At 42.7% G+C, this 25,389-nt stretch overlaps 2 protein-coding genes and 1 long non-coding RNA gene across 8 annotated transcripts in view, besides 3 other annotated features; 1 reads left to right on the top strand and 2 right to left on the bottom strand.

Moving 5' to 3' along the window:
* Positions 1 to 7,256, bottom strand: part of TAF3 (TATA-box binding protein associated factor 3) — a 198,127-nt gene extending 190,871 nt beyond the window's left edge. For both annotated transcript variants that reach the window (NM_031923.4, XM_011519741.2), the window contains exons 1-2: positions 6,886 to 7,256; positions 1,201 to 1,443 (exon numbers count right to left, since the gene is read on the bottom strand). In NM_031923.4, coding sequence (NP_114129.1) covers positions 1,201 to 1,443; positions 6,886 to 7,051 — 409 coding nt within the window. In that variant the 5' untranslated portion in view covers positions 7,052 to 7,256. The remainder of the gene's footprint in view (positions 1 to 1,200; positions 1,444 to 6,885) is intronic.
* Positions 6,544 to 7,061: an enhancer, noted in NCBI's record as "H3K27ac hESC enhancer chr10:7860663-7861180 (GRCh37/hg19 assembly coordinates)". NCBI's record gives its function as "activates a minimal SCP1, AML or CMV promoter by ChIP-STARR-seq in primed H9 embryonic stem cells {active_cell/tissue: H9 hESC(primed)}" and the evidence as "EXISTENCE:reporter gene assay evidence [ECO:0000049][PMID:30033119]".
* Positions 7,062 to 7,580: an enhancer, noted in NCBI's record as "H3K27ac hESC enhancer chr10:7860144-7860662 (GRCh37/hg19 assembly coordinates)". NCBI's record gives its function as "activates a minimal SCP1, AML or CMV promoter by ChIP-STARR-seq in primed H9 embryonic stem cells {active_cell/tissue: H9 hESC(primed)}" and the evidence as "EXISTENCE:reporter gene assay evidence [ECO:0000049][PMID:30033119]".
* Positions 7,190 to 7,249: an enhancer, noted in NCBI's record as "active region_2982". NCBI's record gives its function as "activates an Ori minimal core promoter by ATAC-STARR-seq in GM12878 lymphoblastoid cells {active_cell/tissue: GM12878}" and the evidence as "EXISTENCE:reporter gene assay evidence [ECO:0000049][PMID:35858748]".
* LOC105376392 (uncharacterized) overlaps positions 7,398 to 25,389 on the top strand; it is an 18,933-nt gene continuing 941 nt past the window's right edge. The window contains exons 1-2 of the long non-coding RNA XR_001747356.1: positions 7,398 to 7,509; positions 17,219 to 17,297. This is a non-coding gene — a long non-coding RNA (uncharacterized LOC105376392). The remainder of the gene's footprint in view (positions 7,510 to 17,218; positions 17,298 to 25,389) is intronic.
* The window catches only part of ATP5F1C (ATP synthase F1 subunit gamma), a 19,625-nt gene continuing 12,195 nt past the window's right edge, over positions 17,960 to 25,389 (bottom strand). For 2 of the 5 annotated variants that reach the window (NM_001001973.3, NM_001320886.2), the window contains 4 exons: positions 23,336 to 23,491; positions 22,907 to 23,003; positions 18,751 to 18,787; positions 17,960 to 18,102 (listed from right to left, as the gene is read on the bottom strand). In NM_001001973.3, the coding sequence (NP_001001973.1) occupies positions 18,781 to 18,787; positions 22,907 to 23,003; positions 23,336 to 23,491 (260 nt within the window). In that variant the 3' untranslated portion in view covers positions 17,960 to 18,102; positions 18,751 to 18,780. Of the gene's footprint in view, positions 18,103 to 18,744; positions 18,788 to 22,906; positions 23,004 to 23,335; positions 23,492 to 25,389 lie in introns of those variants that run through there. The other 3 variants (NM_005174.4, XM_017016290.2, XM_047425254.1) reach the window with 2 other exon arrangements.

Raw genomic sequence — 25,389 nt, 5'->3', positions numbered from 1 at the left:
AACCCAAATGTCCATCAGTGAGTGAATGGATAAACAAATGTGGAATGTACATATATTATTCTGCCTTAAACACACAACGAAACACACAACGAAATCCCGACACAGGCTACAACATGAATGAACCCTGAAGACATCATACTAAGTGAAGTAAGCCAGTCATAAAAAGACAAATAATGTCCAAGTCCATTTATAAAAGGTACCTAGAATAGACAAATTCAGAGAGACAAAAAAAGGAATGGTGGTTGCCAGGGGCTGGAAGTGGTGGAGAATGGGGAGTTATGTTTAATGGGAACAGTGTTTCAATTTGGGAGGGAACAAAAGTTCTGGAGAAGGATGGGGATGATGGCTGAATAACAATGTATACTTAATGCCACAGAACTGCACACCTTTACAATGGTCCATTTATGTTATGTATATTTTACAATAGAAAATCATAAGTAAAAGTAATTGCTGGCATCATTTGCATTGTCCTGAAGTATACAGGTTTTAGAATTTTTTACAAAATGAAAGAACTTATTGCAACTTTTCCAACTCTTATAAGAAAAAATATCGTGTACTTGTGTTAGAGACCAGAAATTACTTAAATATCTCCTTAGAATCTTAGTGAACTTAGTGATCAACATCTAAAATTATGCAGGAAAAAAGGGAACTCTGCAATTGGACTGACCATTATACCTGATTAGCTATCATTTTATAATCAAAAGTTCTATATGATCAAACAATAAACATTGCTCCTCATGATAAAAAACAGAAGTCTACACAATGTCACTGAATACTCACGATTCACTCACTGTTTCCAGTATAAAGCCATGGCATTCAACTCATGGCCTGAATAATAAGCGAGGAGGAAAAGAGCTACCCCAATTTTTCTTTTTGTTTCAAATGTTTTCTAATTTACCTAATATCCCATTCTCATATAATAGGGCTGTTGAAAGGCTTCTCTTTGGCTTCACTGTTTTCCTCTACTTGAACTTTACAAAGGAGATAAATGCTTCAGACATGACCTTGATTACACCGTGACTCGGCTTGGTAATGTCAGTTGCAAGTTTGTTGGTTTAAGGGTTAGAATAATTTGTAAGTAACAGTAAATGTTTCTATTGTGTTTCCAGAATTTATAAAGTTGACATAGCATGGAAAGCTAAGAGGATTAAAAATCCATTAAAATAATCACTAACATATGAAGAAGAAACACTCACAAACCTTCTTGAGAAGACACAATGGGTGGCAGGTAATCAGGAATGTATTCTTTTCTTTCCTCTGCATCTTTACTTCCAGGTTGAGGAAACTGAAGTACATTGTTCTTGCTAACAGGAAATGACGGAATTTGGTGTGGGAAGGTGACAGGCTCAATGTTGTGAATATAGTCTTCTAGTTCATGTAGACTAACCCCCATCAGCTGGAAAGCTTCACCAACATCATCCAAAATTGGGTCTGTTCGGCCATCTGAAACAAAGTGAAAAGCAAATCAAATTATTTGAAGAAATCCCACGAATATATTTTTAAATATTAAGAAAAAGTAGTAAGTAAATATGCAGCTCAGAATCAAACATTTTAACCTAGTTATTGGAAAGAATTTAATAGATTTTAAAGAGTATCACAGAATCATGTTTAAGCTGATTATTAAAGTCAAGTTTAAATATAATCAGACAACTAGCCAGAACACCACAGAAAAACCACATTCATGATTAGCTATTATAGAACAAATTTCAAAGTAGTTTACAGATGATCAAAAGCATCTGGAACAGCACCTGACACACAGAAAATGCCCCAAAAATAATAATAATAAAATAGTGTTTTGTCTTTTTTTTTTTTTTTAAGAGATGGCATCTTAGCTGGGCGCGATGGCTCACGCCTGTAATCCCAGCACTGAGAGGCCGAGGTGGGCGGATCACAAGGTCAAGGGTTCGAGACCAACCTGGTCAACACGGTGAAACCCCGTCTCTACTAAAAATACAAAAATTAGCCGGGCGTGGTGGCGCAGGCCTGTAATCCCAGCTACTCAGGGGACTGAGGCAGGAGAACTGCTCAAACCCAGGAGGCGGAGGTTGCAGTGAGCCGAGATCGTGCCACTACACTCTAGCCTGGGCAACAGAGCAAGACTCCATCTCAGAAAAAAAAAAAAAAAAGAGATGGCATCTTGCTTGTTGCCCAGGCTGAAGTGCAGTGGTATGATCACAGCTCCTTGCTGCCTCAAACTTCTAGGCTCAAGCGATCTTCCCCTCTCAGTCTCCTGAGTAGCTGGGACTATAAGCACATGCCACCATGCCTGGGTAATTTTTTTTTTTTTAATTTTGTAGAGATGAGTTCTTGCTATGTTGCTCAGGCTGGTTTTGAACTCCTGGCCTCAATCAATCCTCCTGCCTCTGCCTCCCAAAGTGGTGGGATAACAGGCATGAGCCAATGTGCCTGGCCTTTTTTTTTTTTTTAATCATCAAATAAGTAGTGTGCTGTGCTGACAAAGTCAATGTTGGTTACATTTCCTCTGTTGTTCCCTGATGCATCTGCAGAATCTTAAACAGTGGCTGGCACATAGCTGGCACTCAATAAATACCTATTGAATGAATTATACCATTAAATCAATTTTTAAAATCTAAGAATATTTACAAAGAAGGCTTAGATCATAAAAGTTTGGTTTTTGTTCGTTTTTTGAGACAGGGTCTCACTCTGCTGCCCAGGCTGGAGTGCAGAAGGGCAATCATGGCTCACTGCAACCTTACCTTCCCAGGCTCAAGCCATCCTCCTACCTTCACCTTCTGAGTAGCTGGGACTACCAGTGCACCACCAACATGCCTAGCCATAAAGATAATTTATCTATAAATTTTCAAATGTAATTAGAAAACACCACATAAAACAGAGATAAAAAGTTAGATATAGAGATTTTTTTCTTTACAAAAGCAAGTTTTTCTTATGCCTATTCTTAGCAGAGCTTAAGGTCTCTACATCTTTAAAAATGTCTATGAAAATTCCATTTTCTGATTTTCAATAGCCTAAAGGATTTAACTGAAATCCTGACTTTTTAACTGAAATCCTGAAATTTGATCACTTCAAACTCAGTATGTCTGAAATTAAATCACACTGTAAAATGAAAAAGAATCCAAATATTGCTAGAATTGGACGCATGTGTAGTAATGCATACAGAAACCTCTGGAAGGATATTCAGCCAATGGTTAACAGTTCGAGGGGTGGAAGCTGCAGTAGAGGCGAGGGCTGTGGTGGAAGCAGGAGACTGACTTCTAACTCCACATACTTCTGCAGTCTTTGATTTTTTTTTTCTATAAGTATGGGTTACTTCTGTGATGCATTAAAAAAAGAAAATAAATAAAACGAATACTCTTCTTCTTACTGAATGTAAACAGGCATTTCATCTCTTCTATTCCTATTAAAGCTATTATTACTCTCTCAGTCTAAAAAATATAATAATCTTAAATTCCTCCATATGCTTTGCAGCCTCAAACCAAAACCTGGTAGTTTCTAACCCTGTCCCCGTCCCCTTCGGCCACCTTTTTTTTTTTTTTTTAACCATGATTTCAGATTTTTTTCCTTTCTCTCTATTCTTACTGTCACTATCTCAGTATAGTCTCAAGTTCTGCCCACTTCAATCTCTTATGCACATCACTGTCAGTACAATTTTCTTAAAATACCACTTTAATCATACTATTCCCCTACTTAGGAGTATGCAATGTTTTCTACTACATGTTTTAATTCTTTTGTCTAGCTTTCAAGTCCTTCCATAACCTGATCTCACTCTGTTGAACATTTTACTCAGACACCCTTGGAATGAACTAGCTGCATAGGGAGCTGAACACCTTACTGGTACTTTTATTATGCTTAATCTCACCTGGACAGCTTAGTTTATGTGATTCTCTAAGCTGGAATACTCTATACCTTTATACAACCATACTTCACAGCTCAACTCAAATCTTATCTTTTCTGTGAAGTAATCCTACCCCAGAATCTATAGCCTACAGCCATCTCTCCTCTTATCCCTTTTACATTTACTCCCTGTACCATGCAAAAAAATATTACAGTACTAGTGTTGAAGAGTCAGTCTGAAAGATTTAGCACCTGCTTTCAGTACATGCCAACATATTTAACATATAATGTGACACCGACAGAGACATCTGCCCTTGAATGCTTGGAGACATTGTTACCCTAAGGCAATTCTTAAGTTCATTATTTGTTCATTATTTGAATTAATGGTAACTTCTAATACTTGCTTTAACTTGAGAACATTTCTTTTAGAAGAAACAAACACCATCAGTTTGTTGTTTCCTGACATTCTGGAACTCTTGAACACACCTTATGGTCAGGGATTGTATCTTAGTAATTTTATGTCTCCAATGCCTAGTACAGGGGTTGGTTCGTAAGTGATGCTCAGTAAGTGTTTGTTAAAACAACAGAAAGGATTTAAAGGGGTGGAATACAAGATTCCATAGTGGTAACCTGGAGCTACAGAATTTGATTTTAGAATAAGGCTGGTATAGAAAAAAGAATCTAAAAATATCTAATAAGTATACCAAAATTAGCATTAAAAAAAAGTCACCAAATTACGTGGGAATAATGAACCTGACAATCTCATTCTCACTGAAACCAAGAAACTGGCTACGGAAACTTGGTAATTAGGAACAAGGTTTACACTGAAGAGCTGCAGTGACCCCTGGATGACTTTGGAATACCTAGTCACATAGAGTGGCAGCTCCCTTCTGTTTTGTATAAATGGCAGTAAAGGTAACTATGTATTCAGGAGACATTTTGAATATCTAAAGATACATGGTAGCAAACATAATCTGGACTATGCCTAGCCTAGCCTAGCCTAGCCTATCACTAACGGTATACTCAAGGACCACTGCAGCGGAGGCCAGAGGAAAAAGAAACAAAAGCCAGAAGAGTAGTCAGCTGGTGATGTACTTTCAAGATAAAAATGCACGCATATTACTTTGTGGTTCCACATTCAGATGTATCAGTGAGCTGGGCATGGTGGCTCATGCCTGTAATCCCAGCACTTTGAAATGCTGAGGCAGGAGGATCACTTGAGCCCAGGAGTTTGACACAAGCCTGAGCAATATAACCAGACCACATCTCTACAAAAAATAAAAAGATTAGCCAGGCATGGTGGCGTATCCCTGTAGTCCCAGCTACTTGGAAGGCTGAGGCGGGAGGATCACTTGAGCCCTGAAGTTCGAGGCTATAGAGAGCTAAGATCGCACCACTGCACTCCACGCTCGGCGACAGAGTGAGACCCTGTCTCAAAAGAAGAAGAGTAATAGAAGTATCAGTGAAATCAAGCATTCAAAACATATACATTTTTGGAACTCAATATGTAAAGTCAATAAGTGGCTTTTAGGGTAGTGGTTTATCAGTTCATTCATTTATTCAACAAATATTTCTCAGGTGCCTATTATATAATGGCCCTACAGGTTACAGAATACAAATATAATCAATTTTTCTCCTGGAGAGGGGAAAGAGACATACACAGGTGATTACAAAACAAGATGACAAATAATATAAAAGAAATATGCACAGAATTATGAAAGCAGATAACATGAGTTCCCTAGAGCAAGTGATAAGTGCATCTGAAAATAAAAGTAATACTATTGGTGGGCCACGGGCAAAGGACACTCTAGGTAAGAAACAGCACGCATGTAGGAATGGACAGCTTAAAACATTTTGGAAAAGGCAGGTAGCTCAGCGTGGTCGCAGATTAGCATGGCAGGCTGGCAAAAGGTAAGCAAAATGCTAGCTCACAAAGGGAACTGTGTACTGCTAAGAGTTTCGATTTTTAGCCTGTAACCAACGAAGTATAGTTAAAATGTTTTTAAGAATAATGACAGGATCAGATCTGTGCTATGGACAGATTATTTTGGCAGCCCTGTGGAAGCGGGAACGAAACTTGGGGCCTAAGAAATACAGCGTGTGTCTGTGAGTCTCAATTTTCCAGTATAGGAACCACTTTAACAAAACAAAATATCCTATGAAACACTTCATTCAGTTCTCCAGCTCACCACCTTAAACATCATGACTTGAAACTAAAATGAGTGGTAGTTTCCTCTCCTCAACAAACACACATACAATGCTTCACATCAACAAGATAATGTGGAGCTTCTATTAAAATATTCCATTCCTTCCATTAAATTATTAAATACCACTAGCTATAGATATTACCAGACATTCATTTAAAACTCATAAGTACTGTAGCCCAGATTACCTGGAGAATCTTGTCAACTGCCCACGGTCCCTCTATCCTACTTCGATAGCCACTGACATCTCACTGGTAACCGAGACGTAAGTGAAAGTACATCTAATCAGCGAAACTGACAAAGTCAGCCTTGGAAAAACAGTAAATGGAGATGTCGTTCACGAAACGAACAGATACAGAAAGACGAGGCAGTGTCCCTAACGGAGCAGAGCTGTCAACGAGTCTATGTAGTTAGGAGCCCAGGAATGGCCAGTCTTGTAAGAAACGGCCGGTAGACGGAGCGCCTGTGACAACTAGTTGTAGTAGTTTGCGGGCAAGGGAGAAAAAGGACCGAGGTAAAAGAGGGTGTAGGGCACGCTGGGGGTGGATCTACCCGCAGCAAACAGGAGACAATGAGAGAGATCCAGACACAATTCAGAGCGGAGGAGCGGTAGGAGGGTGTGGAGCTGGGAGCGAAGACCCGACTCCCGGGCTGGTGGCGGGAAGTTAGCGGATAAGGAAGAGGCACCCGAAGGATGACTAGAGTTTGGAGCGGCAGTGGAAGCCCAGGGACGTGGGAGGCCGAGGAAACAGCAGATCTCGAGGCGGGGTGCGGGATGCACACCCCGGGGACGCGGAGGGACAGGGAGAGCGAAGGTGTCACCCTTGACTTGCCGGGGCAGCCCTCCCGCACCCAGCCCGGTACTCACAGAGCTCAGAGTACCGATGGCAGCCCCGGCCCAGCTGCTGCAGATAGCGCTGCAGCACGTCCGTGAGGAGGTGGCAGGCGCTGAGCTGCACCGAGTCCCAGCCCAGCGCCTGGCAGATCTGCGCCACCGAGACCCTCAACAACGACCTGGAGTAACTCTCGCACATCCCGCTGCGTGGACGCCACCGCAGCCCTTGCTGCCACTGCTCTCCAGCCCCGCCGCCAGACCTTAGCAGGGTCCCCGATTCATCCTCTAGGGCTTCCGCGGCGGGGAAAGGGTCCCCCGGACCCCCGGCGACCACCTCAAAGCCCCAGCAGCACGGAGCGCGCCAGCCTGAGAGCCGCCATTTTGGACTCGCTCCGCCTCCCGCTGGACGGCCGCCGGGGCGAGGCAGCATAAGCCGAATGCCGAGCGCGGCGATGAGAAAGCTCCGCCCCTTGGGAGCGGAACGATTCCTCGGGATCGCCTCTGAGGCCTGGAAGCCGGCCGGAAGCGGGCGTGGGGCGCGCAGGTGGAGGAGGCGCCCAGGGCGGCAGGTGCTGGGGCGCTCACCTGGGGGACAGCGGTGACGAAAACGCCAGTGTTTTAGAGGCAAACGAGGGATCTGGGATACGACATTGACAGGTTAGAGAGTTAGCACTAATAACGTTAGTCATATTAGAGAGTTATGTGCTAGAGAGAAGTTTGGGGCGTGGGAACTTACGGAGCTCGCCAAACGCAGACCTGCGCTGGTGTTGCCTCAGCTAAAAATCTGTGTATTGAGCTGCTTGCCACTGCAAAGATTAAATAAAGTCCAAGCTGTTCCGCATGCCCTTCAAAGCCCTTCGCAATAGGGCAGGAACTAGGAGGACTCTGTGCCAAATTAATGGGGGCCTCAAAAAACTCAGTCATCAAGATCGATAATATTTTAACAGTTTTTTTAAAAAAATCCAAATCCATGCCATAAACTCCTGACTCACTCATGTCATTCTAATCCCAGCCCTGGTTCCAATAAAACTTTTTTTTTTTTTTTTTTTTTAAAAAAAACAGGTAAGCTGCCTGTGGGCTATAGTGTGCGATTTGAGCATCGCGGCTGTGACCTATCGGGGGATGGGGACCTCGGCTGCCTACAGAGGCCAAACCGAGCCTTAAACCGGTGTCGCAGGCCGAGTGTCCTGGGAACGGTTGCCTACCCCAGAGCCTTCTCCCAGCTCCATCCAAGTATTGCCAGAAATCGGATTTAGGGATAAATATCTTGATTTTTAAATACAGAATTGGGAACACATCTCAAAAGCCAAACTGATCCCACGGTTAGTCTAGATTCAGCCTGCAGGTCGCCCGATTGTAGTGGCTGAACTATGCGGTTTCTTAAATATGCCCTTCTGTACTTATCACAGTGTATTTAGTTTATGTGCTCCTCCAATAAATTGCGAGTTTATGAGTGGCTCTATATTCCTCCGACAGGGACTATTCCAGAACTTTGAACATGATATTCACATTTTTCAAAGTCTGGGAAACTCAATAATAGAACTGAAATTATGGTTCTTCAGCTAAATGACGATCTGCAGAGAAGCAAGGTACTAAAGGGCAAGGTGCCTGCATTTACTCCCTGGACACTCTGTCCCCAAGTTATCAGGAACATTGTGTTGCTAAATCTATGAGACATTTTTCAGTCCTAGCCGTACTTGATTATTTTGTAGCTATTTGATAATGTTGAACGCTTCTGTAACATTGAAACTCTCTTGCGCCTTGGATTTCACAAATCTGTCCCGCTACCGCCGCCACCCTGGGTGTTTGTTCCTCTTCATTTGCCTTTCTGTGTATAGGGGAGGGGATTTTATTTCGGAAAATTTCAAACCTACAGAAAAGTTGAAACAAAATCATAGACTCACGTGTACACTTCAACTAGATTCACCAATTGTTAACATTTTGCCAATTTACTATATATTTTGTATTTATATATGCACGCAGGTATTTTTTTTCCAGCAGTTTGAAAATAAGCTGCAAACTTCATGACACTTAACCCCACCACACCTCGACATGTATCACCCCAAAACAAGAACATTCCCCCACATAACTATACACAAGACCATATGTCACAGGCTTGGTTCCCCAGGAAGTCAACTCTGAAATAGAGATGAGCCTGCAGAAAGTTCATTGAGGGATCCTCCTGGGACTTGGGGGAAGGAGTGAAAGCCAGGGTGCAGTGAATTCCTTGGCAAGAAAGCCTCAGCCAAGCCAATGCCATAGTGTGCAGAAGCTGGAGTGGCCCTTCAGAGCTTCCCTGAATCCAAACAAGAAGACTGGACCTTTATATTCCCATAGGAACAGGTCACTGCATGAGGGCTACCTGGGAAAGGGTGTGTGCTCTCAGGCAAAGGAACACTGCAGCTGAGTCCATTCAATTCCAAGGACAGCTGAAGTCCTTCAGTCCTGAGGGGGCTCTGAGCAGTGGATTAGAGCATTCATCACAGTTCATCTATTTTACCCTCAGAGACACTTCTTGGTTTGAGGAACAGCTCCTCCAGGATTCTGGAGGGGGCCCTTTCCCTGGGGAAAACATTAAAGAGGAAGGTCAGGAGACAAATTAGAGCCCCGACTGCTGCAGCCAGGCCTCAGCTGATACTCAGTATTCTCCTCCTCAGGCCTACATTTCTCTCACTTCTGGTCTCAGTAGCTTATTTGGTGGCATGATGCAGACCCTCATGTGCAGGTCTGAGCCCCTGGTTTCCAGGCCCTTTTCAGACTGTGGCTGCTGAACTCGTCCTTGTACCATCAGAACTGGGGAAGAGAATACCCAAAATTGGGCAAGAGGCACCCAAACAGACCATGTGGAAACCAAACACTCCACCTTGCCTCCCACTCTGTAATAGGAGCCCATCCCCCTCCTAAAGATGACTCCTCTCTTAGCTGCAGTCTCAGTGGAAGTGCCCAGGCAGCAACTGTAGCTAATGTTTCAGTGGGACTCCTGCTAGGTCCTCTGGTGAAAGCATTCCCCCTTTTGGAAATGGGATCTGTAAACCTGGAGAACCCAGAGTGGCAGGACAGGAAGAACAATTTCCCAGGTGGGTCCCTGGGAGTGATGTAAGTGGAGAAACCCCAGTCTCCACCCTGTGTCATCTACTTATTGGGAACCCAGCATCACAGAAGTCATTGACTTGGTGGGGCACAGTGGCTCATGCCTTTAATCTCAATACTTTGAGAGGCCAAGGCAGGTAGATGGCTTGAGGCCAGGAGTTCAAGACAAGCCCTAGCAGCATAGTGAAACCCCCATCTCTACAAAAAAAAAAAAAAAAAAAAAAAAAAAAAATATATATATATATATATATATATATATATATATATAAAGAAATTAGCCCCAGCTACTCAGGAGGCAGAGGCCAGAAGATAACTTGAGCCCAGGAGTTTGAGGCTACGGCGAGCTATGATCGAGTCACTGCACTCCAGCCTGGGCAACAGTGAGACCCTGTCTCTACAAAAAGAAAAAAGGTTGTTGGCTTAAAGAGTGCACAGCAGCCTAGGGGATCAGGCCCATCCTCAGAAGGTATTGCCTGTGTGCTGGTGCTTTCATTGTGCCTAAAAAAGTCTATTCCATTGCTCTGCCAGGCTGACAGCTTCTGAGTGGTGTGGTGTATGATATGACCCGTGGGTTTCATAGCCTTGTGCCCACTCCCACGTTTCCTTTATTGTAAAATGGGCCCCTTAGGCTGACATAGCGTGATATGGGAACCCAGTGGCTCAAACAAGATGAGCAGGAAAGGCAAATCCATACCCAGAGTATATATCTATTTCTTATCACAATGAATGTTTACCCTCGTTATCACATGGCTGACTAGGAATTGTGGCTCACAGCCTGTGTCCGGCATCATGAGAGAGCATGGTACCACATATTGCTAGCCTGAGAAAAGATCAAAATTCAAAGTGTGGTTTCTACTGAATGCATATTCCATTTGTACCATCGCAAAGTTGAAAATCATAAATTAAACCATCGTTAAGTTGGGGACCGTCTGTGTATGATGACACAGGGTGAGAGAATTAACATAGCTCTAGGACAAGACCAAAATGTATACTGTTGCCTGTTCCAACTGAATAGAAACTATTTCTGATCCTTTCTGTTTGGGATGGAAAAGACAACTTTCACCAGCCAATGACCGCATGCCATATGCTTGAGACAATGTCTATCTGTTCTAGCAAAGACACCACATCTGGCACAGCAACTGCAACCAGGGTTACTACTTGGCTAAGTTTACAACAGTTCACTCTCACCCTTCAAGATGCATCTCATATTTGCAGGAGCCAGACTGTCAGATGAAATGAAAATATAGTGACCCACAGCCTCAGCATCCTTTAGGTCATGATTTCTGCCCACCCCGCCCCAGCTGCAGGGGCAGTTTCAAAGTCATCTCCTCAACCCTCCCATGCCCAAAGTTCTTACCTATGGGCCAAAGAACCAGCGTAGGGGTTGTGCCAACATCCCAGTATGTCTGTTCCAGTGACACATTCAGGAATCAGGGAATTGGCCACTGAGTAGGTCTAAGTGTGAGCTGAGCCTGGGCCAAGACTCCAGGTGCCACTTGGCCTCAGATGCCCCCACTCTGACAAGGGACTCGTGATGACTCCGCATCTCCTGGTTTCATTCTCAGCTTCCTCAAAATGTGTGGGTTTCCCTTTCCCCAGTGGACCGTTACCTGAGTAATGGTCGTAGGTTCTTTTGCAAAAGGAGTGGGGGGATCATTACCTTCGCCGTTTGGTGCTGCAGCATTCTTCTTCCTGAAGACTCAGCCTCTTCTTCAGTCAATAGGGTTTCAGTCTGAAAGCTGGCTTGGATCCAGGAATGGGGCATGGAATCATGACTGGTTATGGGAGTATCTGCCCTCACCCCCGACTACCCATCCTTGAATTATTTTGATGGACCAGATTGAGTAGCCCACGTGTTGGCGTCCATCCATTTCGCCCAGGGACCCCTTATTCTATGAACCATCCCCGTAACTCACCAGGTAAGCCCACACCCCTCTGATTGCTCTCACGCATAACTGCATTCACTTGGCTTCAGACTGCTAAATAGTTAAGTATTGCCACCTGGTTTCTATGATTTTTGGGGTCCCATGAGCTCCATATTTCTCAAATATCTGGTACATTCATACATTGTCCCAGCTTGCTTCCACTGTTTTACTACCCTGTTCACCCCTGGTGGAAGTTTTAAGACTTGCATATTCAGGAACTGCTGCCTTGTGTCAGGTAGCACCTCTGTGCTCCATCCACCACCCATACTGAAGTCCTCACCGCCAGCCAGTGGGGGAATCCAGCTCCAAAATCCCATCTTGCATCTGCTCTTTCAGACCTCTCCGGCACCAAATGTCCCAAGCTGGACTCCCCAGGAGGCTGTCTCTGAGATGAAGATTAACCTCAGAGGAGGGCTCTTGGGGTCACCGCCTGGCAGAGAGAAGAGGAGGGCAGGCAGGAAGCAGGACTAGGGAAGGGCAGTGTTGAGAAGGGAGGGGCTTGGGGAGGGGAAGGGATGGGGAGAGGTTGAGGAGGAAAGGTGGAAGGGAGAGGAAGGGGGATGGGAAAGGGGGGGACGGGAAAGGGGAGAGAGCAGGACTGGGATAGGGAGACATTGGGCTCCAGCTCACAAAGGCCTCAGTCAAGCCCACAGAGAGCTGTAAGGCTGGAATGGCCCTTTGCAGTGTCCTGAGCCAGGCAGGGGGTCTTTATACTCTCATACTGATCAGACACTGGATGTAGGTGCTTCCGGAGGGGGCCATGACCTTGGGCAAGGTGATCTCCAGCTGAGGCAATTCCAACGAGGGTTGGCAGCTGGGGGCTGTGTGCTTCCACCATTCCCAGTGGAAGGTCCTTCTGAAGGGGGATCTGGATGGTGCATCACAGCTCCCACCTCCCCATAATACCATGATCACACTCAGCAAACTAAGATTGACACAATAATATCCCACAAAATAAAGTGCGTGTTCAGATTTTCCCATTGTCCCCAAATGCCTTTTATGGCTTTACATTTTATTTATTTATTTATTTATTTTTTGAGACGGAGTTTTGCTCTTGTTGCCCAGGCTGGAGTGCAATGGCGAGATCTTGGCTCACTGCAACCTCCGCCTCTCGGGTTCAAGCGATTCTCCTGTCTCAGCCTCCCAAGTAGCTGGGATTATAGGCGTGCACCACCACACCTGGCTAATTTTTGTCTTTTTAGTAGAGATGGGGTTTCACCATGTTGGCCGGGCTGGTCTGTAACTCCCACCTGCCTTGGCCTCTCAAAGTTTTGGGATTACAAGGCATGAGCCACTGCACCCAGCACGGATTCTTTTCTTTAGCTGGTGTGTCATGATCCATTACCTTCGTGATTCTCTTGCTGCTTAAATTGTCCCGTATTTGGCCAGTGGGAGCCCTTTCCAGCCGGCCACTGTATTCTTGTACTGTGTCACCATCATTCATGGAGGACTTGCTATTTGGTGCCACTAGATTTTCCAGGCTCACCTTGTGCTTCTCTTGCTCTAAGCTTGGAAGTAGACATCTCTCTGAGGAGCCCTGGTTCTTCTTAGAAAGGAATATTATTTAGAACCCAGACGTGTGCTAGCTGACCTTCATTACTACAGGGAAATCATTGCTTCAGGGCCCTTGTAGTGGAAAGAACTAAAAAATATGTATCTTTTTTTTTTTTGAGACGGAGTCTTGCTCTGTCACCCAGGCTGGAGTGCAATGGCTGGTCTCGGCTCACCGCAACCTCTGCCTCCCGTGTTCAAGCGATTCTCCTGCCTCAGTCTCCCGAGTAGCTGGGATTACAGGTGCACGACCTTGCCCGGCTAATTTTTTGTATTTTTAGTACAGATGGGGTTTCACCATGTTGGCCAGGCTGGTCTCTAACTCCTGACCTCAGGTGATCCGCCCACCTCGGCCTCCTAAAGTGCTGGGATTACAGGCGTGACCCACTGCACCCAGCAATATGTGTACTTTTGAAGTGCAAAGTACACACAGATGCCTCTAATTCAAGTCTAAAATTACATATCCCTTTTCTCCTCCCATGTCCTATTTGCATATCCTGTCTCTCCCAAAGTGAGAAACCTGGCTTCAATATCAAAGATTTGACTTATCCTGCAATGTCTTTGCCTTTTATTACTTTTTTTGTTTGTTTGCTTGTTTTGTTGAGACAGAGTCTTGCTCTGTCACCCAAGCTGGAGTGAAGTGGTACGATCTCAGCTCACTGCAACCTCTGCCTCGCAGGTTCAAGTGATTCTCCTGCCTCAGCCTCCCAAAAAGCTGGGATTACAGGCATGCACCATCATGCCTGGTCACAGCTCACTGCAGCCTCGACCTCCCAGGTTCAAGCAATCTTTCTACCTCAGGCTCCTGAGTAGCTGGGACCACAGGCACATGTCACCATGCCTGGCTCATTTTTGTCTTTTTTGTAGAGATGGGTTTTGCTATGTGGCCGAGGCTAGTCTCAAACCGCTGGGCTCAAGCAATTTGCCCACCTCGGCCTCCCAAACTGCTGGGATTACAGGCATGAGCCACTACGCCTGGCAGCTTTTGTCTGCTTTTACAGTGTTCTCTTTTCATAGGATTCACCTCAGTGATTTCATCATTAGCTGTGTAAAGATGACTCCTTAATATAACACTTTATCTTGGATTGTTCCTGAGTGCTATACTAGCGTAGCTAACTGCATCTAATGACTAATGTCTGCTTGGATGTCCAATATATCACTCAAATGTAATTAATGTTTGAGGGATGTCCGAAACTAAAATCATTCCATTCTTTGCTGTATACTTTGCGGGGGTAGAGGCAGGATCTGTGTTCGTCTCATTCACTAGTAAATAGTACCTAGCAGTTAGTCATATTTCAGTAATGCCTTTTAGCACAATTCATCTTGCAATGATATAGAGAGTGGATTAGAGCACAACTCTGAATATATGAAAAACCACTGAGTGGTAGAATTTAGAAGGGTGAATTTCATGGCATGTGGATGATGTCTCAGTGAAGCCACTCTTTGAAGAGAGTAACTAGAAGTGAACAGTGGAGGCCAGGAATCAGGAACCTGTTCAAGAGCAGGAGTGGCAGAAATGGAGAGCAGCTGCTTCTTTAGCAGTGAGACTGCACACAGCTTAGCGGGGCATGAGATCTGTAGAACGAAATTTCTTCCTGAGATCAGAGCTCAGACTCATCCAAGAGGCCTGATCCTTATCATTCTGTCTTGGTGGACAAGGAAAAGAACCAAGAGCAATGTGGGAAAGGCGAGTACTGGGGCGTAGCGGTCAATGCTGACGAGGGTTACAGTTGAGGACCAGTGAGCCCAACTTCAGCCAACGGCAGCACTTTTTCTTCAGTTGGTGCCAGGAGCTCAGTGACTGCACAGTTCTTAAGCTTCATTTAGAGAGTTTTGAATAATGATAATAAAATTTCTGAAAGCTTCAACTATTCTATATTAAAGCACACAGAGAAACAGTTTCCTAAAGGGCACATTATAGACAACAGTTGTAATGATGGAAACTCAATCCTAGAATATTAAAATTAACAGACCTAGCCCTTTAGGTACTGTGTAGGTGTTTGCAGAAAATAGGATAGCCAGGAGCAGTGGCTCACTCCTGTAATCCCAGCACTTCAGGAGGCCGAGCCAGGCAGATCACTGAGGCCAGGAGTTCGAGACCAGCCTGGGCAACATGGCAAAACCCTGTCTCTACTAAAAATACAAAAATCAGCCAGGCATGGTGTAGTCCCAGTTACTTGGGAGGCTGAGGTGGGAGGATGGCTTGAGCCCAGGAGGTGAAGTTTGCAGTAAGTCAAGATCCTGCCACTGCACTCCAGCCTGGGCGATAAGAGCCAGACCTCATCTCAAAAAAAAAAGCAGTTTGAATTATGTAATAAACCTTACCAGTGGTCATTTATCACTGTAATTCCACTGTGTTATGCCACTTAGCAAAAGGAGAGGACAGAAGTTGGGGGAAAATTTCAAGCTTACTCTTTGATTCCTTCCTACATGTCTAAACCACACAGCATGGTACACTCACCTTTCCAGATTTATCTTGCCTTTCTCGTTCTCTGTATTAGCAGTTTTCAGAATGTGCATTTGAACAGATTTTGGTCTTTGCTTTTTCTGCTTCCTTGGCCTGAAATGCCTTCCCTCCCCACCAGTTAGCTCTAGTAGTTTAATTTCTACTGTTGGTCACTGGTCCTTGAGGACTGTTTAGACCTCCCTTCCTCCAAGCTGGACGGCCTTCTCAGTCCCCTTCATCTGTCCCCAAATTGAGTCACTGTCCCTCTTGTGGCTCACCAATTGTAACTTACCACATTCTGTCATTTGCTTGTGTTCCCTCCAGACTGTAAGCTCCTGCAAGGAGGCGTTTTGTTATTGTATCCTCAGAGAGTCAGAGTGCCAGTACACAGAAGAGCACCACTAAAGGCTACAGGGAGCTGATGATTAATTTTACATAGAGCAGACATTTAACCAAGAATATAGCACTTACTCCCTGTCAGATTCTCGATATTTTAAAATATTAGCTCATTTAATCCTAACAATCTTTTAATCTCCATCTTATAGATCATAAAACTGAAAGATTAAGTAACTTGCCCAAGGTCACAGCTGTTAAGGGCTGAGCTAGTATTCCAGTTCAGACACAGATTATTCTTACTTATGTTGACTGATTTCAAATTCCTGCTTTTCCTCCTTCCATGATGTCTAGGACACTCAAATCACCCTCACAAATGTGTTCTGCTCTCCTAGAAACTGGAGGTGGGTCAAGCCAAGCTTAGAAGCAAAATACAAAACAGGATGGGCATGGTGGCTCACACCTGTAATTCCAGCACTTTGCAGGGCTAAGGAGGATCACTTGAGCCCAGGAGTTCAAGACCAGACTGGGCAAAATAGCAAGACCCCATCTCTAAAAAAAAAATTTTTTTTTAAATTAGCCAGGTATAGTGGCGTGCACACACACACACACACATACACACAGCCTCCAGAGGCACGTGGTTCGTTGCTAACATTCCCAAAAGGTATCTTGTACTGGTTCACACTACACCTCCATCTGATTCCTCAGTTGTGAGCTGTTTCTTTCTCCTAGTCTCAGCCACCAACCCCTTCAGAAGTGGCTCCTGAAAACTTTGAGGGGAGTTAGAAAATGACTTTGAAGCTCTGGTCAGTTCACTGAACCTTTTTATTCATTACCACGAATATAGCTGTAAATATTTAAAGAATCCATTCTAAATACATGCATTCATTTGTTTTTAAAAGAGGAGCTTGTTAAGAATGGGTTTTATATTGTTTATAATTTTATGTATTTTGGAATTTATATATTACTTTTGTAATTAAAAAAAACCCAAAAAACTAAGTTATCAATTTTAAACAAATAGGGAAAAGCCTGAAATTTTGGCATGGCCAACTCAGAGTGTGGAGTCAACGCAGGCATCTAATCTTAATTGTGATCTAAATGTGAGTATCGTACTTTTCTCAGTGTTTAGAAAAGATGTTTTAAATAATTTAGAGTAAGTATATGCTTGCAATTTTGTATCCAGAATTCCAAGCAAATGCTTCCTGTGGCATTTTTTTTTTTTTTTTGGAACAGAGTCTTACTCTGTTGCCCAGGCTGGAGTACAGTGGCGCGATCTCAGCTCACTGCAACCTCTGCCTCCCAGGTTTAACCGATTCTCCTGCCTCAGCCTCCTGAGTAGCTGGGATTACAAGTGTGCACCATTTTTGTATTTTGTTTTGTTTTTAGTAGAAACAGGGTTTCACCATGTTGGCCAGGCTAGTCTCAAATTCCTGACCTCCAGTGATCCACCTTGAGTCTCAGTCTCCCAAAGTGTTAGGACTGCAGGCATGAGCCACCGTGCCTGGTCTTGTTGACTGTTCTTTAAGGCTGTAATAAGGCACAGAACTGGGCTGAGGCTGTGGCTGCAGCCCTTTCCCTCTACGTTGTCCCCATAGAGGCTAGACATTTTAAGGTCAGTGGAGCACTACCAAATCAAAAGAGCCTCTTAAATTGTCTTCTACTAAAAAATTTTAATAGTAGCATATTAATATTTTTAAATGTTTTAGTATCATCTCATTTCAAAAACTATATCTATTGTTCTTATATATAAGAAAAACAATGATTTTATTTTAAGTTGTTTATTTTAAGATAATTTACAAATATCTTGCTGTCTTCAGTAATTCAAATAATGGAGGAACAGTTTCTTCGGACAAAGGCAGCAGTAAGCTAAAAACAAAATCAACTGGCTGAATTTTCCTTCTTTACCTGAAAAACAAAGTACAGAACAAGTAAGAAATCAAACAGCATTTTTTGGGAAAATAATGTCAAGAGATAATAATACATATTTAAGTGGGGTACAGAGAACTGAATTTACACAATAAAGTGTTACCCTATACCAGTGATTCTAAAATTTTGGTCTGGGGAACCTTTCATGGGGTTCATGAGGTCAAAACTATTTTCATGATAATGTTATTTTGCCTGTTATATTCTCATTCTCGAGTATACAGTAGAGTTTTCCAGAGGCCACATGATCCATGACATCACAACAAAATGAATAGAGACAGATGAAAATCTAGCTGGCTTCTGCTACATGAATCAGACATTAAGGGGTCCAGAGACCATAAAGTGTGACAACCACCACTCTTCACAACCTATATATAATATCTCAAAATAATGTTAATTCTCTATCCTCAAAGTTTATTTCCTTATATCTACATTTTCTATGATCAACACACTCACTACAAAAAAGTCCACTAGCGTTGCCCAGGTGCTCCCGTGAGTTGGCTGCTACTGTGAAGTGGCCCATCCATCTAAATCTCTCAGAGGACAATTCTAGGATTACTAAATTAGCTTAACTTATATCTGAATAGGTTTCTTTTCTGAACAGACATGGGAAGAATGTGTGAACTTTACCTCTTGTCTGAGGATGGAACTTGATTTTCATTAATCCCTGGTTATTATATTAGAAGAAAAAGACAAACACAAAACAAGCAGGTCAAGAAGCAATCCATGCTAGTTAATCACATATGCTTTCCAATGAAAAAAAGTCAATTGTTAAACTTGATACCTTGAGTACATCATGCAAAAATACTTACCACAAGATTCCTTTGAAACAGACTCAATGACTGTTATAAAAAGTCATAGATTTCAATCCAGGTTAGAAGCAATAAAAACATGCTCATGCAAGTAGGCAAGACTATGAATATGTAATTTAAATTACAATTTTTCTATAAATTAACACAATATATTTAGAGGTTTTTTTTTTTTTTGGAGATGGAGTCTTGTTCTGTTGCCCAGGCTGGAGTGCAGTGGCGTGATCTCAGCTCACTGCAACCTCCTCCTGGGTTCAAGTCATTCTCCTGCCTCAGCCTCCCGAGTAGCTGGGATTACAGGTGCCCGCCACCACGCCCAGCTAATTTTTGTACTTTTTTAGTAGAGACGGGGTTTTGCCATGTTGGCCAGGCTGGTCTGGAACTCCTGACCTCAGGTGATCCACCCGCCTCGGCCTCCCAAAGTGCTGGGATTACAGGCATGAGCCACTGCGCCTGGCCATATTTAGTTTTTAGGCTGGCAACTAATACTTGGACCTCGAATACTATGGTTTACTCATGTTCTTAATTATATTACTAAATAGCCAAATATGTTTATTTTGTTTTTTGATCTTTTTCTTTTCCAAGTATGTTTAAATATTCAAGTCTTGATTCAGAATAACTGATAGGTTACAGAGCATGCAAACCCATTCACAAGCAATCCAACCTTGGCACTGCATAGCTAAGTTTTTGTATAAGGATTTAGACTACCTTCCTAGGAAGCAAAAACTTAATACTCAATTTCCAATTATGTGGATTCCTTTTTCTAAATTCTTGGTTTTGTGCAGTGGCACGATCATAGCTCACCGCAGCCTAAAACTCCTGGGCTCAAGCAATCCTCCTGCCTCAATTTCCTGAGTAGCTAGGACAACAGGCACATGCCACCAGGCCTGGCTAATTTTTTCATTTTTGTAGAGATGGGGTCTTGCTATGTTGCTCAGGCTTGTCTTGAACTCCTGGGCTCAAGCAATCCACTCGCTTCGGTCTCCCAAAATGCTGGGATTACAAGCATGAGCCAATGCACCCAGCTGTTTCTGTTACTTTTAAATAGGTTTCCTGCATTTCTTTTTTTTTTTTTTTTTTTTTTTGAGAAGGAGTCTTGCTCTTTTGCCCAGGCTGGAGTGCAGTGGCGCAATCTCGGCTCACTGCAAGCTCCGCCTCCCAGGTTCATGCCATTCTCCTGCCTCAGCCTCCATAGTAGCTGGGACTACAGGCGCCCACCACCACGCCCAGCTAATTTTTTGTATTTTTAGTAGAGACGGGGTTTCACCGAGTTAGCCAGGATGGTCTCAATCTCCTGACCTTGTGATCCGCCCACCTCTGCCTCCCAAAGTGCTGAGATTACAGGCGTCAGCCCCTGCGCCCGGCCAGGTTTCCTGCATTTCTAATGAAGAAATAGGCTGGTCCTCAATTTTGCAGAAGTTGTATCATCATAGGTCATACCTAACATTCGTTTGTCAAGAGCAAAAAAACCCCCTTGGGTTCTCTGGATCTCACACAGCCCACAAACCTTCAGAATGTGGTTCCTTCCCGCAGGCTTTGTCACACTTAAGATCCAAGAACAAATCAGCCTGGCTTTAACATGGGGTAGATGGCAAGAAGGATAATGGCTAATAGAAGGTTTTAGTCCTTGTATTAGTCCCCATGTTACAGATGACAAAGCTGAGTAACAGAGAGAGTATCCTAACCAAGTTCATCAAGCTAGACACCATGAGACAGTATTCTGTGATGCTGATAGAACATTGGTGACCAGGCTGTGAATGGGTTAGTCCTAACACAGCTGTGCTTAGAAAGTAAAATAAGAGAAGAATGCTTAGGATAGCGAGGCTGATGGATCCAACTAACAACTTACACAAAGGTCTCTGTTGGCTCAAAAAGTTCTAGTTGTGTCTCTCTGGCATTCTGCCCAGTTTCTGCCCTTGAAAAGTAACACTTAAGGAACACTTTAAATAGTGATGAACTTTTCCCTGACTCTTAAAACCATGGACCCACATTTTCATACACCCAATAAAATGTTATTTGTCCCTCTTCTGAACTTCCAGTTCTGAATACATATGGCATTTCATTCATTCATTCAACATTCACGAAGGAGGTATGTACCAGGCAATGGGGACACAAAAGTGAATAAGATATGGTCCCATCCTAGCCTCGAGGAGCACACAGACAAATAAAAAGCCAATTCCTCATACAAGGCTGTAAGAGCTAAGCTAAATGGAAGACAGGATGCTGCAGAAGGCTGCCTCACTCAGACTGAAGGAAGGAGTGTTTTCTGGAAGAAAGGATTCCCCCAGCTGAGTAAGGAAGGATACACAGGAGGCAGTCAGATGAAGAATCAAGGGAGCAAGGGAAGAAATAGTGGCTTTTCAGGCTGCAGCACATGCCACTCCCTGGCCGCGAGAAAGAGTGACGAATCTGTAGATCTGGAAGTAGATCAAGGTGGCTGAGGTTCAAGGACGTGAGAAATGGTAATGGTAAGAGACTGGACTGGGAAGAGTGCTGGTGACCAGAAAATATAGGATCACATACATCGAGTGTTTCTGCAGAATGAGTGTATAACAGAGAATGGATTTTGTTATTTTCCTCATAACACTGTCACAAGAATAGGCAAATTTTTTCGGTGAAGGGCCACACAGCAAGTATTCTGCACTCTGTGGGTCACACGCTATCACTCTCCTTTTTCTTATATCCCTTTAAAAATGCAGAACCCATTCTTAGCTCCAGGCCACAGTTTAGCAACCTCTGTTCTGCTGTGACTTCTTATTTAGTGTCTGCCTTTACTGTGAAGACTGAGCTCTCTGAAGGCAAATACTGTTACCACTGTATCCTCAGTGTCTAGCACAGGGCCTGACACTTAAGGGGCACTCAAATAATTACCTTTTTGAACCCAGGAGAGAAATGACAAGGATCTGCATTAAGTGGGCATAAAGAAGGGGGAAGATTCAAGAGATAGTTAGAAGGTAAAACTTAAAGAGCATGGTAACTGATTAGCAGGAGGTAAGAAGGAACGAGTCAAAAAGAACTTACTACACGTTTTATCTAATCACAATTACTTGTATGTTTCTTATCCTATTAGAATATAAGTGCCTTAAAAGAGAGAATCACATCCTTAACACTGTGTCTAGCACTGTACTGTGCACATAGTGGGTATTCAACTTAATAACTTTTTGAATAAAATTCCCATTATCTTAACCTTTTTTTCATAAACATTAAAGTTTTTCAACAACTAAGAAATTTTCTTGAGGAAAGCAGTATATAGTTGGCCCTCAGTATCCATGGATTCAACCAACAGCCGATGTAAAATATTTGGAAAAAAGACAAAAATAATGATAAAATAATAAAAACAAAAACCAATACAACAACAATTTACATAGCATTATAACTAGAGATGATTAAAAGTATACGAGAGGATGTGCATTTTTTATATGTAGTACTGTGCTATTTTATTTCAGGGACTTGAGGATCTTCAGATTTTGGTATCCTGGGGGAGGTGAGAGTGAGTACTGGAACCAATCCACTGCAGATACTGAGGGATGGCTATACTATCTTTTGGTACTGATATAGAAAACATAATGATTAAAAAACATAATGATTAAAAAATTCCTGGACCTTCCCAACATGCAATGGTTTATAGATTTATGTAAAACCAAATCTGAAACTAGCCCTGTAACTCAGAAAGCTTGGCTTACAATTGTTTAAATTCCAAAAAAAGATTTCATAAATGATACTGAATTATCCACATCCCATTCCTAATCCTTTAGAAAACCGAAAACTAAGCCCGAGTGTTTCCAGCTGAAACAATAAAAATAAAGCAAAGAGGTCCCATTTTTACCACATCTTTATAGCCTAAGAGTTAGGATGCAAGTTTCAGCAATGAGTTTCAACTTCAAAAGAAAAAAACGAAAAACTTTTAAGCATCCAAACAAGCAGACACAGCAAGAGGAAAAAAAATTCTCTGAAGGCGACAATCTACAATTACTCACAGAGCTGCAGCACCAGAGATAATTTCAATCAACTCTTTTGTGATGACAGCTTGGCGGGTACGGTTGAATGTCAATGTCAATTTGTCAATCATCTCAGCTACAAACAAAACAAAAACACTACATAAAAAATCTGAAACTAGAGTAGAATAACTTGTTAACTAACTTCTGTTGCTTAATTTAAAAGTAAGAAATTTTTGGATACCAAAATTGGCCTCTCAAATAATGTTATGAAGATATTTTTACATCTTCCATAGGATACCTTTTCACAGTACTTGCAAATCAACTACCTATCAAGATATACTTTCTTACAGGTACAGGAATATCATGTTAATGTTGTTGATGCTACTCTCGGCCACGGACTCCTCTCAGCTGAGATTCACTGTGTGCTCACAAGCACTCCTGCTGGCACTGTCCATACTGTGTACTTACAAGCATTCTTGCTGGCATTGTCCATGGCTGTCATCCTGGCACTCTGCTCACTAGTGGTGGACTCCTTCAGAGAGTAGTAGATGATGTTGGCCAGATTGTATTCTTGGTAATTTTGCAGCACGTCAGCATCAATATCGTCATAGATACTCATGCTGTCTGTTAAAACAAGTGATGAGTTTCTTTCAAGTTATATGGAAGGAATAGTAATTCATCAAAAACAGCTTTTCAGTGTAAAACTCCTTTATAATTACAGAGCAGAAATTAATGCTAGATAAGGTAAATGAATCTGTTCTAATAATGTCATCTATTTCCACACTACAGATGATAGCATATTTTTAGCAAAATATAATGTGTAAATAAACCATTTGATATTCTACTCCACATGTGTAACTTTAGAAAAATTAGGTCAACATTTGAAATAACTGCACTATATCTCGTGGTTATGAAGCCCTCTGGACAGCATTAGCATGTGCCTGTTACAAAGCCAGCAAGCACTCAATGCTTTTTCCAGTAAAAAAGAATAATAATGAATTGAAACGAATTTAGTGTAATACAGGTTGAGCATCCCTAATCCCAAAGTCCAAAATCTGAAGTGCTCCAAAATCTGAAACATTTTGAGCACTGACGTGATGCCACAAGTGGAAAATTCCACACCTGACCTTGTGTGATGGGGTGCATTTGAAACTTTGTTTCATGCAGAAAATTCTTTAAAATATTGCATAAAATTGCCTTCAGGCTATGTGTATAGGGTGTACAGACTCAGGTCCTGTCCCCAAGATACTGCATTATAAATATGAAAATATTCTGAAATCCCAAACATTTCTGGTCCTAAGCATTCACACAAGGGATACTCAACCTGTGCAGTAATTCCAACTTAGTCATTTGATTACTGAAGAAATCTGAATGTATCAATCTGGAAAATGAGAGAGGGAAAACCTTTCAAAGCACATGAAAGAGTGGGAGAACTAGAAATTGGTATGAATCGTAGTTTTAATGTTGTAGAAATTTAGAAGTACATTTCAAAATTCATTCATTGGGGTCAAGTGGTGACACAGTACTATATATTATCAAAATACTATATTTCATTAAATGGTACTGGTTGTAACACCTACTTTATTTCTCATTAAGAGAGAAAAAAATGTACTCAATTATAAATGATGTTCCATTGGCTGGTAGAGCCATCTCAATTTCAGAAACATTAACGTGTAAAGTACATACTTGAAAATAAATGAAGTATTAGAAAATAGATGGTATATACAAGGGAAAAAAGCCTTAGAAAACTAAAATCAGTTCCAGAATATTATTCCAGGATGCTTCAATGATCAATGATGACTTTATTCCAACAATAAAACAAGAGAATTGAGTCAGTCAATGTAAATTAGCTGTGAACACTGTTCAACTCTCTATTCTAGAGCTTCTGTTTTATTGTAGTTAGAGGTCCCAAACATAACTTGCAAAGCCAGTTTCTAGCTACGCTCTTCAATCCTTGAGGACAAAAAAATCTAATGATGAACCTCAATAGATACTGACTTTTCAATTAATGACAGAATAGAGCAGGAGTTATCAAACAATGACTGAATTAAGTATCATGGAAGTCAAGAGATGGCACTTCTCAGAAACAGCCCCAGATCGGCCGGGTGCAGTGGCTCATGCCTGTAATCCCAGCACTTTGGAAGGCCAAGGCAGGTGGATCACTTGAGGGCAGGAGTTCAAGACCAGCCTGGCGAACACGGTGAAATGCTGTCTCTACTAAAAATACAAAAATTAGCCAGGCGTGGTGGCGTGCACCTGTAATCCCAGCTACTTGGGAGGCTGAGGCAGGAGAACGGCGTGAACCCGGGAGGCGAAGGTTGCAGTGAGCCGAGATCATGCCATTGCACTTCAGCCTGGGTGACACAGTGAGACTCCGTCTCAAAAAATAAAAAATAAAAAAATAAAAGGCTGGGCTCATGCCTGTAATCCCAGCACTTTGGGAGGCCGAGGCGGGTGGATCACGAGGTCAGGAGATTGAGACCATCCTGGCTAACATGGTGAAACCCCGTCTCTACTAAAAA

This window comes from Homo sapiens, chromosome 10 (assembly GCF_000001405.40).
Source record: "Homo sapiens chromosome 10, GRCh38.p14 Primary Assembly".
Classification (NCBI taxonomy): Eukaryota; Metazoa; Chordata; class Mammalia; order Primates; family Hominidae; genus Homo; species Homo sapiens.
Note: the sequence above shows the minus strand (reverse complement) of the source record. Positions and strands in the feature narration are given on the sequence as shown.